This window comes from Homo sapiens, chromosome 19 (assembly GCF_000001405.40).
Source record: "Homo sapiens chromosome 19, GRCh38.p14 Primary Assembly".
Classification (NCBI taxonomy): domain Eukaryota; kingdom Metazoa; phylum Chordata; class Mammalia; order Primates; family Hominidae; genus Homo; species Homo sapiens.
The window spans coordinates 54,736,664-54,754,133 of record NC_000019.10 but is presented as its reverse complement, the minus strand read 5'-3'; the positions used below and the strand labels follow the sequence as shown (position 1 = coordinate 54,754,133).

General features: G+C 46.9%; 1 protein-coding gene across 1 annotated transcript; it reads right to left on the bottom strand.

The window, feature by feature from the left end:
• KIR2DL3 (killer cell immunoglobulin like receptor, two Ig domains and long cytoplasmic tail 3) lies at positions 1,082–15,621 on the bottom strand. The gene is made up of 8 exons (NM_015868.3): positions 15,555–15,621; positions 14,592–14,627; positions 11,855–12,154; positions 10,046–10,339; positions 6,749–6,799; positions 2,381–2,485; positions 1,866–1,918; positions 1,082–1,767 (listed from the first exon to the last, which is right to left on the bottom strand). Exons 1-8 carry the CDS (start codon positions 15,586–15,588, stop codon positions 1,615–1,617), a joined length of 1,026 nt encoding a protein of 341 aa, NP_056952.2. The 5' UTR covers positions 15,589–15,621; the 3' UTR covers positions 1,082–1,614.

The window sequence follows — 17,470 nt, the reverse complement described above, 5'->3', positions numbered from 1 at the left end:
CGGAGGTTGCAGTGAGCTGAGATTGTGTCACTGCAGTCCAGCCTGGGCGACAGAGCAAGACTCCGCCTCAAGAAAAAAAAAAGCAAATAGCCTATAATAACAAATTAGAGGGCTCTGGCTACTAAATTTAAAGGGTTCTATAAGGCTACATAAAGTGTAGCATCATCAAGTGTGTGGACACAGACAGCCCCTTAGCAGAAACTGTCTAAAATACATCCATGTACACACAGTCCCTTTAGAGTTGACAAAGGCTGCCGTGTGGTTTAAGGTGGCATAGAATGTCTTCTCAATAAATAATATTAAACCAATGGGTTACACCTAGTAAAAAATAAATCTAACTCACACTATAAAAACACTTCTTAGTTTTTATCTAGTTGTACATTTTTTGATTTATATTTAAATTTGAGAAATAAAAGTCATATACGGTCATCCTTCACTATTCGTGGGTGATTGGTTTCGAGATCTCCACTCAGATACCAAAATCTGTAGATGCTCAAGCCTCTTATATGAAATGGCACAGCGCTTGCAAATAACATATGCACATCCTCCTGTATACATGAAATCATCTCTTGATTACTTATAATTCCTGATACAGCCTACACACAGCTTCATTTGTGTCCATTCAACATAGTTATGAGTTTTGGAACTCTGTGGATATTTTCTCTGAATATTTTTGATTTATACTTTGTTCAATAAAGACCTGTAAACCCCACAGATACGGAGGAGTGACCGTATATTTATAGTATGAAAGATGATGTGTTGATATGTGTCCCCATGGAGATGAGACTAACAAGGCCTATGACTCTACAAATGTTTCATCGTGGAATGACTCTGCCAGCTTTCCAGGTCTGCAGAGAGTAACAATGTCACTTGTTCATGTGATTCCCGATCCTTGGAACCTCCTATGTGCTGCATCTTTGGATGGAAATTGGAGTCCCAGAGACAAATGAGGCTCCACACTGCTTCCAGAAGCTCAGAGTCCAGAGGTGAGAACCCGGTGGAGAACAGATGGGATTATATGGACATGGTACTGATAACACCGGAAGCCTTAGGCAAGAAAAGAGTCCCATTACCTAAACCATGAGGGCAGACATGTTTATTTGAAGGAGGGAAAACTACATTGAAATTATTTTAAAAAATATATAAGTTTTACTGCTGACAGAAGGCTGAAAGCTAGTCTGAGGGGAGGTGGAACAGCATGAGGGAAGGTGGAACAGCACGTGTCTAAGTGCCGTGTTAAGAGGGAGCCTCTTGTATGTTTGGAATTGTGAGTTCCTCAGTGTGATTGCAGCCTCAAGTAGACTAGGAAGTAAGCCAGTTAGGTTGGAGAGGTGGGCAGGGGTCAAGTGAAATGGAGAATTGTGGGCTAAGCAAAGGAGTGTGTTTTCTCTCCAGCAGGCAGTGGGGACCTTAGACATTTGTAAGCAAGGGAGAGGCACGTTCAGATTTGTGGTGTGAGGAAGAGCGATGCCCTAAGATGCAGACTCACGCCTTCAGATTCCAGCTGCTGGTACATTGGAGCTGGCAACCCAGTTTTGAGACAGGGCTGTTGTCTCCCTAGAAGATCCCCTCAAGGCCTGACTGTGGTGCTCATGGGCAGGAGACAACTTTGGATCAGGGCTCAGCATTTGGAAGTTCCGTGTACACGATGATATCTGTTGGGGGTGTCTTGGGCCTCTGAGAAGGGCGAGTGATTTTTCTCTGTGTGAAAACGCAGTGATTCAACTGTGCATATGTCACCTCCTGAGGGTCTTGTTCATCAGAGTCCTGGAGAGAGGGAAATGCTGAGTGAGGGAGGGTGCTCACATTTTCCAGGACTCTTTGGGAATAACACTAGCCACGAGGCTGGGCCGAGGAGCACCTACCTCCCTGTTCACTGTTCTGTTCCCTGCAGGCTCTTGGTCCATTACAACAGCATCTGTAGAAGACGGAAGTCAACAAAACAGCTCAGAGGGCACTTCTGGGCCCTCATTTCATAAGCAGATACCAACATACAGGGGGAGACCATAGGAGCCTGAGGTCCCTCAGTTGCCAACAGCAGACTCAGACATTCTATCTCTCTGAGCTCAAGGACCCATCCCATGAATAGCTCTGAGTTCCCATCCCATTGATTCTGTCTCCCACTTTCTGCCTGTCATGGAACCTTCTCCTGGATGTGAGTGGCTGCAGGGGACATGAGGATACAGTTCAGAATCAGGCAATGGTCTGTGAGCTGAAGGCAGGGACAGGGAGTCTGGTGCTCTCTCTAGAAAGTCCTCCCTCTGTGGCTGCTGCCTTGGGCCAGGGACCATCCTGTCTGTGAGGAACACACACCTGAGTGCTCCCATCCTGCTTCCCCACATGGCCCTGAGCTCTCTGGCCTCTGCTTCGTGAGACTTACTTTTTTTGTTGCAGCACCAGCGATGAAGGAGAAAGAAGAGGAGGAGGATGAAGAGGATGATGACCACTGAGGTCCCAATCAGAACATGCAGGTGTCTGGGGTTACCTGGAAGAAGAGGAGACACCAATAAGAAGCTAATCATAGCAGTTCCTCTTTATGAATTGTCTCACATTTCTTGATTGACAGGTAACCACATACAACACCCCTTTAGGACAAGCACCCAGATGGAGGGAGACCCAGCTTTCTCCTGCTTTCTCAGTTATAGCTCTCATAGTAACCATAGAACGTGTTGAGGATACAACTACTTTAGTTGAGATGTTTGACCCCTTCAAACCTCACATTGAAATTTCACCCCCACTGTGGGAGGTTGGGCCTCTTGAGAGGTGTTTGGGTCATGGAGGTGGATCCATCATGAACAGACCAATGCTGTCCCAAGGAGACGGGGTTAGCAAGTTCCCCTTCTATTAGTTCCTGGAGAGCTGGTTGTTCAAAAGAGCTTGGAAGCTCCATCGCTCCCCCTCCCCCTTGCTCCCTCTCTTGCCGTGTGATCTCTGTGGTCTCTGCACAGACAGACCCTCCTTCCCTTCTGCCAGAGTGGGAGCAGCCTGAGGCCGTCACGAGAAATAGATGCTGGTGCCACGCTTCCAGTACAGCCTGCAGAACTGTGAGGCAAACCAATCTCTTTTCTCTAGAAGTTACCCAGGCTCAAGTGTTCCTTTAGAGCAACAAAAATGGACTAAGACAGCAACGTCCTGAGATCAGGAGGAACGTCTCAGAACAGCCTGGGCTGTCTTCCTGTTCTTCCTGGAGGAGGACGTCATGCAGTGCTTTAGCTGAGTGCTTCCTGTGGCTCCACAGTACAAAACCCAGGCTGGGCTGCTCTCTGGCTTCCCCCAGCTACACTGCAAATGGGGTGACTCCATATGTCCCGAGTAGCTTTTCTGAGCCTTGAGGGACTGGCTCACATTGAAATGTAGGTTTCTGTTGTCACTCGCTGCTTATCTGTTAGTAATGAACCTGCCTGTGTAATGTATTCTCTGTGTGTTCTGTCTCCCTGGAGTGACGGTGAGTGATAGGAATTGGCATAAGCCCAGGTGCAGTCCAGGAGGTATTTAGAGTCTTCTCTGGGAAGACTGCACTGGGATTGATACACAGCGAATGTGCTTTAGGATTTCTACATCCACAGCATTCTTGAATCAAACAACTTGCATTCTCCAAGAAAAGGAAACAAAAGTGAAATCAAGATAAAAAAAGCTAAGTAGAATTCTCTTATGTCAAATGGCCAGGAAATAGTGTTGAAGCCCGTGTGAAACGTGCTACTCTTTGTGATCTCGGGAGACACATGTTAGGCTGCTGTTCTACCCGAGAGGCTGGGGGAAGGACCACCCCCTCGGCCATCTATTGCTTCAATACCACCTGTCCTCCTGTGAATTAGTAGGAAAGGGGAGCAGGAGCTAGTGCTGGCACTGATCTCTGATTCCAAGATCTGGACTCACTCCAAGGAGTATCAATGTTTACCTCCCCATAGCCTATCTGAATCTCCACAGGTGATTGGAAGTAGGGGTGAGGTGGGGGATTTGGGTGAGTGGGCAAGTTTTTTGTTGCGATGAACAGAGCACTTTCTCTATTCCACGATCTGTGCTGGAGGATTCTGAGGGCTTTCACATTTTCTATGTGATCTCATTCTCACAGAAAGCCAAATAGGGAAGAGGTTTTAAGCTCATTGCCTAATGGATAAGATAAAGGATCAAAGAAGTAATTATAGAGAAATAGAAAAACGATGATTGGAATTCAGGTGCCTTTGTCATTCGTGTGTGTTTTATTATATTTATGTATTTCTTATTTTTATTTTTTGAGATAGAGTCTCCTTGTGTCCCCCAGGCTGGAGTGCAGTGATGCAATCTCCACTCACTGCAACCTCCACCTACTGGGTTGAAGTCATTCTCCTGCTTCATCCTCCAGAATAGGAGCTGGGATTACAGGGATGCACCATCGTGCTCGGCTAATTTTTGTATTTTTAGTAGAGATAGGGTTTCACCACGTTGGCCAGGCTGGTCTGGAACTCCTGACTTCATGGAATCCACCCACCTTGGCCTCCTGCAGTGCTAGGTTACAGGCGTGAGCCACTGTTCACAGACTTGTATATTATGCTATAATAAGTCTCTTCATTTCCACCACCACTCATATATCTGTCACTCCTTTGCCAGGTATTGATTTATGTGTAGGATGAATAAATCTCAGAAAGAAATTAATTAAGCGAGGATTAAACAAGTAGGAAAATCAAACCCAGTAAGCGTTTCCAGTCAATGATTCTACCTCACAAACATATCTTATATCCATCTACTTCATTCATTTAGTGTCTAAATCAGCACCACATTTCACCAGTGGGGTGGCAATTGCCTTTTCCACGGTCTCCTAGATTCCAGTTATGCAACTGAGCCTCCCTTATTTTCATGTCAGTCATATTAATCATGTAGGGATTCCTGGTTACCCCGAGGTGAATCCAATGGCTGTGAGTGTCAAACACACACTCCTTGTTGCTCCTTAGTTTCCTGTGTACCCAGTGTGCTCTCCGTCTCTCTACAGTCGTCTTGTCATTCTCCCCACATCATTCCCAGCATTTGAGGCAGAGCCTCTTCCTTCCACATCAGATTGTTTTCACCTTTGTGCCTTCACGGCTGACAGCTGTGTGTGCAAAATCCTTCCGCCAATCTTTCAGGGGTTCAATCCGTGTTTTTCATTAATGTCACAAATATCTGAATAGTGAGACCTTCTTTGTCACCTGAAATCATACACTCAGCATTATCTATTATTGATTTTGAATTCTGGCTGGGCACAGTGGCTCACGCCTGTAGTCCCATTACTTTGGCATGCTGAGACGGTCGGATCACTTGAGGTTGGGAGTTTCAGACAAGCTTGGCCAACGTGGTGAAACATCCTCTCTACAAAAAATATACAAAAAGAATTAGCCGGGCACGGTGGCAGTTGCCTGTAATCCCAGCTACTCGAGAGGCGGAGGCAGGAGAATCACTTGAATCCAGGAGACGCAGGTTGCAGTGAGCCAAGATCGTGACACTGCACTGTAGCCTGGAAGACAGAGGGCGACTCTGTCTCAATAAACAAAAGAACAAACAAAAAATAGATTTCATGCACAGATGCTTCCCAATGGATCATTCATTTATAGATCCACTTGTGCATTCATTTTCTGCCCTCCCATTTAACCATCTGCAATATCAGTGTCCCAAGGGCAGAAGCCAAATGCATCTTGTTCACCGTTTGTGGAAGGCAGGAGAATGCTGTCCCACCCCAAAATGTCCCTGTCCTAGCCTCCATAGCTTGTGAATATGTTATTTTACATGGAAAGGAGGAATGAAGATTGTAGATGGAATTGCGGTTGCTAATCAGCTGAACTTAAAACAAGGGTATCCTGGATGATTTCCAGGAGATTATGAGGGATTTTCATCTTGGTGAACCCAATAGAATCCCCAAGTTTTCAAAAGATAAGGAAGAAGGGAGAGCAGCATTCAGAGAAAGAGGTGTGGTAAGGAAGAAGGCACTGAGTGATGCCATGTGAGATGTGACCAGTCTTTGTGGGCTTTGAGGAAGGAGGAAGGGGAACAGGAGCCAAGGAACTGGGAGCCTTTAGAAGCTGGGATAAGTGAGAAGCAGATTCTTGCCTGGAATCCTCAGAGGGAAGGCAGCCTTGCTGTCACCTTGATTTTAGCCCAGTAAGATGCACTTCCTACTTTGAGCTACAGCACTGTAAGATAATTAAAAAACCGTTTTGTTTTCACCCACGAATCTTGTGGAAATTTGTTATGGCAACAATAGGAAAAGGTTCCGCACTGCACAGCCTGAGCATGGGGCCGTGGCTGAATGAGTCAGTGAGTCGAAGTGTGCGTGCATGAGCTCCGTTCTCTGTTACGGCAAGGCTGTTGCTCTGCTGAGTCAGCCAGGGTTGCTTCATGACCAACAGTAATTCATTCCTTGGCAAGTGGAACTTCTCTAAAACACCTCGCCCTCATCAGATGTTCCCTTCCCTTCCCTCTCTCAAGCCCCCAGGAATTTATCCTCCAGTTAGGAATGCAGGCAGAACAAACATTGCATTTTTCCTGAGAAGGATGTCAGATTGGCAATCATTCTTCTAGCTTGTAGGAGGTCTCAGCTCCATAAAATGAGAGATTAAGAGATTTCACTGAGCCCTAGGTTGGGCCCAGATCCCTTTCGCTGTTGGAGTATCTGGAGTTCGGAGATGGTAGAAGACAGGCGTACAATGTCAGAGCTGCGAGATGCTGAGTCAATGCCTGCATCGAAGGTTTCTACCTCCCCAGGTTTCCAAAAGCGGATATAAGAGGGTTCTGTACTCACCGGTTTCGGAGCTTGGTTCAGTGGGTGAAGGCCAACTATTTGAAGGGTTTCCTAGAACACGAGACAGGAGAGAGGTGAGGAAATGAGGGTGTCTGTCCTCTACTCAATGGAAATCTTTGAGGTTGGTTCATGGCCAACACTCTGTTATCTAATATTGGGCCCTGGGAGTCCTGGGATCCTTTTTTCCGTAATTTTTGTATGTGACGCCCACTGTCTTGAGACTTCAAGGTATAAAGAGAAAACAGGAGCATCACACTACCTGATCTCAAAATATGTTACAGAGCTGTAGTAAGCAAAACAGCATCACATTGGCATAAAGAAAGGCACGTAGAACAATGGAGCAGAATGAAGAACACAGATATAATCCATGCATTTACCTCCAATGTTTTTTTCTTTTTTCTTTTGAGATGGAGTCTCGCTCTGTCACCCAGGCTGGAGTGCAGAGGTGCAATCTCGGTTCACTGCCACCACAGCCTCCTGGGTTCAATCAATTCTCTGGCCTCAAACTCCTGAGTAGTGGTATTACAGGTGCTGACCACCATGCTCAGCTAATTTTTATATTTTTAGTGGAGACAATGTTTCATCACGTCGGCCAGACTAATCTTGAACTCCTGGCCTCAGGTGATCCACCCGCCTTGGGCTCCCAAAGTGCTGAAATTGCAGGTGTCAGCCACCATGCCCAGCCCATCCAATGGACTTTGACAAAGGTGCCAAGAACTCACAATCAGGAAAGGACAGTCTTTTCAATAAACAGTGCAGGGAAACCTGGACATCTACATGCAGAGGAATGAAACTGCACCTCTACCTGTCACTATACACAAAACTCAAATGAAAATGGATTAAAGATGTGAGTCTAAGGCCTGAACCTATGAAACACGTAGAAGAAAATATTGGGGAAATGCTCCAGGACATTTGTCTGAAGGAAGACATTTTGTTTTAAACCTTCAAAACACAAGTAATCGAAGCAAAAATAGACCATTGGGATTACCTCAAACTAAGCAACTTCTGCACCGCTAAAAATAAACCAACAAAGTGAAGAGACAACCCACAGATTGGGAGCAAATATGTGCAAACTATGCATCTGAGATGGGATTAATAACTAGAAATATAAGAAGCTCAAACAACTCAATAAAACAAACGATTTAATTGAAAAAGGAGCAAAACACATGAAATTTCCCCACATACTAAAAAGTGCTCAGTTTCACTCATCATCAGAGAAACACAAATTAAAATCAAAGTGAGTTTTCATCTCACCCCATTAAAATGGATTTTAGGCCGGGCGTGGTGGCTCACGTCTGTCATCCTAGACCTTTGAGAGCCTGAGGTGGGTGAACCTCATAAGGTCGGGAGTTTGAGACCAGTCTGACCCACATGAAGAAACACTGTCTCTACTAAAAATACAAAATTTAGTTGGGCGTGGTGGCGTGTGCCTGTAATTCCAGCTACTCGGGAGGCTGAGGCAGGAGAATCGCTTGAACCTGGGAGGTGGAGGTTGTGGTGAGCCGAGATCGCACCACTGCACTCCAGCCTGGGTGACAAGAGCGAAACTCCATCTCAAAATAAAATGAAATAAAATAAAATGGCTTTTAGCTGCAAGACAGGCAAAGGAAATCCTGCCAAAGTGGTAGAGAAAGGAGAACCCTAATACCCTGTTGGTAGGAGTGTAAATTAGTACAGCCTTTACGGAGAAAAGTGTGGAAGTCCTTTAAAGAACTAAAAAGAGGTTGGGTGAGGTGGATCATGCCTGTAATCCCGGCACTTTGGGAGACCGAGGCGGGCACCTCAGTTGAGGTCATGAGTTTGAGAGCAGCCCAGCCAACATGGGGAAACCCCATCTATACTAAAAAAAACAAAAAGTAGCCAGGCATGGTGGCGTGCACCTGTAATCCCAGCTACTAGGGAGGCTGAGGCAGGAAAATCATTTGAACCCAGGAGGCGGAGGTTGCAATGAGCCAAGATGACTTCACTTGTACTCCAGCCTGGGCACAGAGGGAAACTGTCTCAAAAACAAAAACAAAACAACAAACGAATAACTAAAAAGAGAACTTTCATAGTATCCAGCAATTTCACTACTGGGTTTATATCCAAAGGAAAGTAAATCAATATATCGAAGTGATATCTGCACTCGTATGATTGGTGCAGCACTGTTCACAGTAGCCAAGATGTGGAGTCAACCTACCTGCCCATCAGTGGATGAATGGATAGAGAGAATGTAGTACATACGCACAGTGGAGACTACTCATCCATAGAAAGAATAACATCCTGATATTTGCAGCCACATGGATGGAACTGGAAGTCATTACAAAGATTCCCATTTCTCACCCATATACAGAGCTAAAAGGTGGATCTCATGAAGGTAGAGAGTAGAATGGTGGCTTCCAGAGGCCAGGAATAAAAGGGTGGAGGGTAAAAAAAAAAAAAAAAAAAAAAATATATATATATATATATATATATATATATATATGTTTATATATGTGTGTGTGTGTGTATATATATATATATATATATATATATAAATGTATTTATGACCACTAGACTTTACACTTAAAAATGGTAAATGTGGCTGGGCGTGGTGGCTCATGCCTGTAATCCCAGCACTTTGGGAGGCAGATGCGGGTGGATCACGTGGTCAGGAGTTGGAGACCAGCTCGACCAACATGGTGAAACCCCCTCTCTACTAAAAATACAAAAAGTAGCCTGGCGTGGTGGTGCGCGCCTGTAGCACCAGCTACTCAGGTGGCTGAAGCAGGAGAATCACTTGAACCCAGGAGGCGGAAGTTGCAGTGAGCTGAGATTGTGCCACTGCACTCCAGCATAGGGGACAGAGCTAGACTCTGCCTCAAAAAAAAAAAAAATGTTAAAGGTGGTAAGCTATATAGGTATATTTATCCTCAATAAATATTTCTTCAAACAAAAGTAAAGGGTGTAGGGGTTGCTGGTGATGACATCCCTGTGTGGGTGAGAGGCCAGGATGGGCTTCTGGGAAATGGGTAATGTTGAGGGGCTGAGGGAACCTCTGATCTTCCCAAACTGAGCCCAGTCTCTCTCCTCTGGGTCTCTCCTGACCGTTTTCTCCATCTGCCTGTGTGCCTGGAGCCCTGGCCGCGGGCCTTCATGCAGGCCGTGTAGGAGGGTTTGGAGGTGCCCTGTCTGCCATCCTGTGCCCTGATCCCTCCCTCACACCCAAGCTTCGTCTTCTCTCTGCATCTGTCCATGCTTCTCTCCATCATCAGCAGGAAGCTCCTCAGCTAAGGCTCTAGGATCATAGGACATGAGACAGATATGGGGTTTCCTCACCTGTGACAGAAACAAGCAGTGGGTCACTCGAGTTTGACCACTCGTATGGAGAGTCACGGAAAGAGCCGAAGCATCTGTAGGTTCCTCCGTGGGTGGCAGGGCCCAGAGGAAAGTCGGCCTGGAATGTTCCGTTGACCTTGGGCCCTGCAGAGAACCTACGTTCATGGGCCTCCCCCTCCCTGGATAGATGGTACATGTCATAGGAGCTCCGGGAGCTGCAGGACAAGGTCACGCTCTCTCCTGCCAGAACCGTGGGGCCCGGCTGGGCTGAGAGAGAAGGTTTCTCATATAGACCTGGAGGAGAAGAGGCATTTTCCTTACGGAGGATCTTCCTTGTCACAGCTCCCTTCACCTGAGCTGAGAACTCACTCCCCTGCTCTATGACCTAATGCTCTCTCTCTCTCTCTCTCTCACCCTCCACCCCATCTCTCTTCATGTCTATTTCCTTCTTCCACCTTCTCTGTCTCTCTAGGTCTCTGACCTCGCTTCCCCACCTCTAGATATGTTTTCCCTTTTTGGATTCTTTTATTCTCTCTGACTCTCCTTGGATTGGTTGACTTGATGTTACTTTTTTAAATTCTAAGTTTCTCACGTTGTGTCCTGTTCATAACTTTCTGCATATTTCTATCTATTATCTGTCGATCTATCTATTTATCTATTCGGTGCCTATCTACAAATTCTCTACCTGTCATCTATATCTATATATCATCTATGTATCTATCACTTGTCTATCTATCCATCAATCATCTGTTATTTATATGTATGTATCATCTCTCTCTCTATGATTTCTGTCTGCCTCTCTATCTGTACGTATTATCTGTCTTCATCATCATCATCTCTATGTATTATCTATTAATGAATCAATCAATCATCATCTATGTATCTTTAACCTATTATCTATCATCTACCTATTTATCATCTATCTATATCTATCCATCTATCATCTGTCTTGCTCTGCCTCTCGGTCTCTCTAGTTCTCTTTGGAATCTCTGCAATTCATCCCCACATCTCCATGTTTCTATGTCCTTGTGCCTCTCTCTCAGGACTCTAATTTTAGTGCTTTTCTCTGCTCCCTGCCATCATTCTCACCACTCCTCTGCCCTCTTTTCTCTCTCTTTATGTGTCTGTGAGTCTCTCAATCTCCTTCCTCTGGCTCATTCTCTGTGTGTTTATGTCTTTGCTTTTTGGTGTTCCTGATTTTTCTCTGTGCCTCTCAGTGATCCTTTCATATGTGGGGTTATTTGGAATGTGAGCCACAGAATCCAGTCTGGAGACCACAAGTTCACACAGCATACAGGGGTTGGTGTTCTGGGGCCATGATATCCTGGGACGATTACTCTCCATTACATGGAAGGCAGAGGTGTCAGAATAAACATGGCCTGTAGGTGCCACAAGGCCTGAGGCCACAGGGCCCAACTCAGGTCATAAATATGGGTGTCCTTGGGTTCTCCTGGTAGAGAACACTTTGTGGAGGTAAAACAGAAATGAAACTTCTAACCTGTGCCAGGTCTGTGAGCAAAGTCAGCATGGAGGGACACCTCTCTCTGGGACATGTCTGTCTGTCTGTCTCTTTTAACTCTTTCTGTCTTTTCTAACTCCCTGTATGGCCCCTGTGTCTGTCCTCTGTTATGACACCTGGTCTGTACTTGTGTCTCCTGTTTCTCTGTCTCTGTTGGTACAAACCTCAGCAAGTCAGTCTCTCTCCATAAGAATACCAAGCTCATCTTCCTTACAACTACCTGGGGGTTCCAAGTCGTGGATCATTCACTCTGCATCCCAATGACAATGAGAATGTCCGGACACTCTCACCTGTGATGACGATGTCCAGAGGGTCACTGGGAGCTGACAACTGATAGGGGGAGTGAGTAACAGAACCGTAGCATCTGTAGGTCCCTGCAAGGTCTTGCATCATGGGACCGATGGAGAAGTTGGCCTTGGAGACCCCATCATGGTGCTCTCCAATGAGGTGCAAAGTGTCCTTAAACTTCCCTTCTCTGTGCAGAAGGAAGTGCTGAAACCTGACATCTGACCAACATTGCAGGATGACTGTCTCTTCTGATTTCACCAGGGGACCTGGGTGGGCCAGGAGGGAAGGTTTTCTGTGGACTCCTAGGAAGAGAGGTTGTGAGTTTAGAAGGTGTCTCTCTTTATCATCCCATCCATGGCACCTAGAATGAGTGAGGCTTCCCCTTGCTGGTGTCTGTCTCTCTCCTTCCTCTCTGTGTCTTCATGTTCTTTTCTGTGCCCTTAACTCCTGGTGCAGGTCCTTCCATCTGTCTCCCTCCCTCTTCTCTGTCCCTCTGTCTCTAGTAGCCTCTGATTCCCTTCCCACTGGGCTGAGCCTCATCTCTTGGGGTGTTGTATCTATTTCACACTAATGTATTTCCTGCTGTTTATGTGGGGGTGAAAGAGGAACCAGGATAGGCTGCACATCCAGGCTCTTATCAGCCTGGTTCAATCTCTTTTGGATGAATTGCAATCCTTGGCAGAAGGTATGAACTGATGAATAAGGCAGGCACCAGTGTCCACACACCCTGTTCCTGGTGGGGACTGGGAGCCACTCTTGCCATGCCTGTGCCTTCTCCATGGTGCCAGCTTCCATAGGCTGGCTCCTGGTGCTGGTTGGAGGAGTATCAACCCCTCCCTATGTGGATGGAGCCTGGTGGTGGCATCATCATCCCACCCTTGCTGATCTCAGGGTAGCCAACCTTCTCCTTGTTTGGTTTCTTTAATTAATTAATTAATTATGGAGACAGAGTCTCACTCCTTCACCCAGGCTGGAGTGAAGTGGTGTGGTCTAGGCTCACTGCAACCTCTGTCTCCTGGGTTCAAGTGATTCTCCTGCCCTCAGCCTCCTGAGTCGCTAGGATTACATGCACCTGCCACCATGCCTGGCTTTCCTTGGGTTGTTTCTTAACTTGTCCTTGACCTGGGTTCCAGTGTTGGTTTCCTGTTGCTGCTGTAGAAAATTATCAGAAGCATGGCAGCAGGAGAGACCACACTGACACCTTCCAGTACTGGAGACAGAAATTGGACCCTATTTTTCCTGGGCTAAAATCAAGGCATCTGCAGGGCTTTGTTCCCTCTGGAGACTCTGGAGAATCAGTTCCTTGACTTTTCCAGCCTCTATAGGCCACCTGCATTCATGGATCTTGGCCTTCCTCCACCTTCAAAGCTGGTGAAGACTTCCACTGGACTGCTCTAATCCCCACTCCCCTCTTCCTCCTCCTTTCATGTGCACCCTTGTGATTACACTGAGCCCAGTGGGACAGTCCAGGCTGTCTCCCCATGAGCTCCATCTTCCCCTTCAGTCCCTTCCCCTATAACATAAATAGTCACAGACTCCAGGGATTAGAATGTAGTCATCACTGGGGACAATTATTCTTCCCACCACAGCACCCATTTCCCTGTATTCAATCCCCCTTTACCACAAATACAGTCAGGGCCTGCGTGATGGGACCCTCAAGGACATGCCCAACAGAAGCTCTGGGATTCAGGAGGTGGGACAAGGAGAATCCAAGACAGGAGCCCTCTGACCTATGACCACGATCACCAGGGGGTTGCTGGGTGCTGACCACCCACTGGGGGAGTGTGTGTGTGAACCCCGACATCTGTATGTCCCTGTGTGTGCGGGGGTCACAGGGCCCATGAAAAGGCTGTTCCAGAATATTCTGTTGTAGAGCTCAGGGACAGGCACCCCACCTTCCTTTTACAGACTGAAGTTGTTAAACCCAAGATAAGAGTGACACCGAAGAATGACATGTCCTAGAGGCACCACAAGGCTGGGCCAGGCAGACAGCAAGGGCTTGTCCTGACCACCTTGGGGAGAAGGAGGCGCCGCCTTAGAGAGGAGGATGTGGAACTGCCCTTCCCTCCCTGTGCTCAGAAGATTCTCCTCGCTTTCCACGTTTCTATGGCTACTATCACACCTTGGTGCCCAGGGCTGAAGGAAGGACCCATCCCGCAAAGACATGGTGTCTCCCTACAACAAAAGCCTCAGCTGAGAACTTTGAGCAAGTGCTGAGTAAAGAGACTCCTACTAGATTTTAATACTGTAAGATTACTCACATAAAACAACACAGGGTAGACATGAGGTGGAGGGCATGTCCTTTGTGAATGGATATCAGCGGATGCCTGAACGAAAATAAACAACTGAGCCCCCATCAGAGGATTTGGAATGTCAGGGCCATGGCTGTGGTTTCCCACCTCTTCTGGTAGAATGACAGCAGCCACACTGCAGCCCCTACCATCATGGAAACGCTGAAGTGTGTGAGTAACACCTTTGTCCTCAGAGGATCTGCTGTTCCTACCACTTCCCAACCACACACCCCAGCTTTGAGCACCCCAGTCTAACCCTGGTCCCCACAGAACTTGACTCTGCCAAGGGGTTGAGAGGCCAGGGAGGCGAGGTCAGAAATGTGGGCTGAGCACCCCAGGGTCCTCTCTTCCTAGTTTATGAGAGACTCCCCGACAGGACTTCCCTCCTGTTTCAGGAAAATCCTCTTATGTGGGGAGATGACACCCGAAGGTTTGGAGAAGGACTCACCCTCATGTGGCCAGGCCCCCTGCAGCAAGAAGAACCCTGGAAAGAAAGATCATGATGGACCATCCATCTGCAGGCAAACCAGGCCTCCCTTGCTGCCCCCACTGGGCTGTGAGTCTTGGCAGCCAGGCCCTTCCTGGGCTGAAGTTAAACTCACCCTCAGTGCCTACCTGCACCCAAGAACAGGGCTGTCGGCTGTGCAGAGACCCAGTTTCCAGGCCCATATCCCCACCCCAAGCCCATATCTCCACTCCAGGCTGATATTTCCACCCTAGGCCCATATCGCCAATCCAGGCTCAGATCTCCACCCTAGGCCCCTATCTCCAATCCAGTCCCATATCTCCGCCCCAGGCCCAGATCTCCACCCTAAGCCCATATCTCCACTCCAGGCCCATATCACCTCTCCAGTCCCATATCTCCACACCCAGGCCCATATCTCCTTCCTAGGCCCATATCTCCACTCCAGGCCCAGATATCCACCTCTAGGCCCATAACTCCACTCCTGGCCCATATCTCCACTCCAGGCCCATATCTCTACTGCAGGCCCGTATCTCCACCTCCAGACCCATATCTCCACTCCAGGCCCATATCTCCACCTCCAGGCCCATATCTCCACCTCCAGGCCCATATCTCCACTCCAGGCCCATATCTCCACTCCAGGCCCATATCTCCACTCCAGGCCCCTATCTCTACTGCAGGCCCATATCTCCATCTCCAGGCCCATATCTCCATCTCCAGGCCCATGTCTCCACTACAAGCCCATATCTCTACTGCAGGCCCATATCTCAACCTCCAGGCCCATATCTCCACTCCAGGCCCAGATCTCCACTCCAGGCCCAGATCTCCACTTCTAGGCCCATCACTCCATCTCTAGGCCCATAACTCCACTTCCAGGCCTATATCTCCAACTCTGGGCCCCGATCTCCATCCCCGCACTCCCTCCCTCGATGCCCTTCCAGGACTCACCAACACACACCATGCTGACGACCATGAGCGACATGGTGCTGTCTGTGCAGACAGGCGGCCGCGCCCCAGCTCAGCTCAGCAGCGCACAGGATGTTATTTGGCGCCCTGCCCATGCAGTTTACATGTTGACCACATCATGGGAGGGTGACGTACGCAGGCTCTTTCTACCTTGCATGAGGCCCAGTGGGTGCTCGCTCAAGAGCGGAACATGGCTTCCTGGAAATTGTTCTCACTAGAATTGACACCTTGCGTCCTTCACTACGACCAGACTCAAAAGACGTCTCAGATCCAACCTCTCATACACGAGATGATTGAATTCTGTGCTTACATTAAAGATTTTTGATGTATTTTTGTTTTTATCTGAGATTCAAACTCTTCTTCATATGTAATGTGCAAAATGTCTAACAGGTATTATTAACATTATCAGAGTAATTGTGACAAGAAGCCATTCTAATTTTCCTGCTTGAGTTTCTACTACTAAACCAGAGGCATCAGAATAGCTTGAACCTGGGAGACGGAGGTTGCAGTGAGCTGAGCTCAAGCCACTGAACTCCAGCTTGGGTGACAGAGGAAGAGTCTGTCTCAAGAAAAAAAAAAAAAGCAAACTAAATAACCTATAATAACAAATCAGAGGACTCAGGTTACCAAATTTTAAGGGGTTCTATAAGTTTATATAAAATGCAGCATCCTCATGAGAGGGGATACAGAGAACCACTGGACAGAAAACTGTGTCTAAAATACATCTGTGGATACACAGTCCCTTTATAGTTGACAAAGGCTGCCATGTAGTTTAAGGTGGAATAGAATATTTTCTCAACAAATAACACAGGACCATAGGGTTACACGTAGGAAAAAATAAATCTAAACTTATCCTCACACTATAAAAACACTTCTTATTTTTTATCTTGTTGTTGTAAATTTTTTATGCTTTATTTTTAAGATTGACAAATAAAAATTATATACCATGGTCCTTCACTATACCTGGGTGATTGGTTCCAGGATCCCCATTCAGATACCAAAATCTGCAGATGCTCAAGCCCCTTGCATGAAATGGCATAGTGAAGCTGGGCACCGTGGCTCACGCCTGTAATCCCAGCACTTTGGGAGGCTGAGCTGGGTAGATCACAAGGTCAGGAGTTCAAGACCAGCTGGTCCAACATTCTGAAACCCCATCTCTACTAAAAATATACACACAAAAAAATTTATCTGTGCATGGTGGCACGTGCCTGTAATCCTAGGGGAGGCTACTGGGGAGGCTGAGGGAAGAGAATCGCTTGAACCTGGAAGGCGGAGGTTGCAGTGAGTTGAGATCACGCCACTGCACTCCAGCCTGGGTGAGAGAGTGAGACTGTCTCAAAAAAAAAAAAAAAATAGCATAGCAATTGCATAGAACCCATGCACATCCTCCTGTATACATGAAATCATCTCTTGATTACTTATAATTCCTGACACAGCCTACACGCCACTCAATTTGTGTCGATTCAACATAGTTTTTTGCTTTTTGAAACTTCGGGGATTTTTTTTCTCAAAATATTTTTGATTTATTGCTGATTCAATAAACATGTGTAAACCCCAGAGATATGGAGGAGTGACTGTCTATTTATAGTAGTATGAAAGATGATGTGTTGATACGTGTCCCTGTGGAGATGAGACTAACAAGGCCTATGACTCTACAAATGTTTCATCGTGGAATGACTCTGCCAGCTTTCCAGATCTGCAGAGAGTAAGAATATCACTTGTTCATCTGATTCACCATCCTTGGAACCTCCTATGTGCTGCATCTTTGGATGGAAATTGGAGTCTCAGAGACAATTCAGGCTCCACCATGCTTCCAGAAGCTCAGAGTCCAGGGCTGAGAACCCAGCGGAGAACAGATGGGGTTATGTGGACGTGGTAATGATAACACCGGAAGCCTT

Bases quoted from the DNA above. Each gene is read 5' to 3' on its own strand.
- KIR2DL3 (NM_015868.3), bottom strand. From the start codon at position 15,588: ATGTCGCTCATGGTCGTCAGCATGGTGTGTGTTG. The intron at 2,486-6,748 runs GTGAGTACAGAA...CTCTTCTTCCAG, and splicing joins TGAACCAAGCTCCGAAACCG to GTAACCCCAGACACCTGCAT. The intron at 1,919-2,380 runs GTAAGTCTCACG...CGTCTTCTACAG, and splicing joins CTGGTGCTGCAACAAAAAAA to ATGCTGTTGTAATGGACCAA.